Consider the following 1199-nt stretch of genomic DNA (forward strand, 5'->3'; position numbering starts at 1 on the left):
AATTTAAATTGCTTCTTTACAACTAGAAGAGAAACAATGGAAAATAATAAAAAATTATGAAATTATTATTTTGAGCCAGGTGTGGTGGCTCACGCCTGTAATCCCAGCACTTTGGGAGGCTGAGGCGGGTGGATCACGAGGTCAGGAGATCGAGACCATCCTGGCTAACACAGTGAAACTCCATCTCTACTAAAAATACAAAAAATTAGCCAGGTGTGGTGGTGGGTGCCTGTAGTCCCAGCTACTCGGGAGGCTGAGGCAGGAGAATGGCGTGAACCCGGGAGGCGGAGCTTGCAGTGATCCGAGATCGTGCCACTGCACTCCAGCCTGGGCAACAGAGCGAGACTCCGTCTCAAAAAAAAAAAAAAAAGATATTATTTTGGAGTGATGCAAAGAAAAAAAAAAGAAATTATCATTGTTTTAATCTTAAGGAGTTCCCAAGATTATACATCTGTGTGAAAGGGATTTTCTGCTCTATCAAGTCTGAAAGATGCTGTGATAAAATGACAATGGTTTAAGTAGAGGGTGCTTGGGGTCAGGGAAGAGTTCTTGGAAGGGATGATTTCTGTCTAAGTCGAGATCTGAAGGATTGGCCAGAGGAACAGTGGGAAGCAGTCATTCCAGGAAAAGCAACCAGCAGGTGCCCTTGTGTTGGCTGATGTGCATGAAATAATTCACTCTGGGTTGGGAGTCAGGGGCAGCAGCCCAGTAATTCTCCCAGTGGGAGGCCCTCTTTGTCCACAGCTACTGGCCAGTGAACAGGAGGATTCATCTCCAGCACCAGCTCCTTCCTTCTGAGTTCTCCTCTGCAATGCCTCCCCCATTACTAACCTCTAGCCACCTCTCCTTCTGCCAGGAAGGGACGACTAGCCACTCCCTGGGGTGAGGCAGCTGAGCACAGCTGGTGTCTGCCAGAGGCCAGGCTGCCTGACTGCCCAACTGGGAAGGGCTTGTCTCCACTGACTGTTCCCTGAAACACACACAAGCCCAGGCTACCCATCACCTGGGCCCATCTGGGGCACAGGGTCAGCAGGGCTGGCGGCTTTACTCAGTTGCAGGCTGAGTGGCAGGGGGGGTTCCTGGGACCCTACACATCCCTGGCAGTCTTGAAGACCCTCCAGCTTCCTCCTCTGGTCACTGTCTCCTGCAGACTCCAGTACCTCCTATCTTAGACAGGTCATGGCCAGGGAGGAGAGGGA

The 1199-nt window shown here is 50.8% G+C and overlaps 1 annotated feature.

Moving 5' to 3' along the window:
- Positions 362-914: an enhancer, noted in NCBI's record as "OCT4-NANOG-H3K27ac-H3K4me1 hESC enhancer chr20:42952746-42953298 (GRCh37/hg19 assembly coordinates)". NCBI's record gives its function as "activates a minimal SCP1, AML or CMV promoter by ChIP-STARR-seq in naive and primed H9 embryonic stem cells {active_cell/tissue: H9 hESC(naive and primed)}" and the evidence as "EXISTENCE:reporter gene assay evidence [ECO:0000049][PMID:30033119]".

The sequence above is a fragment of the Homo sapiens genome, chromosome 20 (genome assembly GCF_000001405.40).
Source record: "Homo sapiens chromosome 20, GRCh38.p14 Primary Assembly".
Classification (NCBI taxonomy): domain Eukaryota; kingdom Metazoa; phylum Chordata; class Mammalia; order Primates; family Hominidae; genus Homo; species Homo sapiens.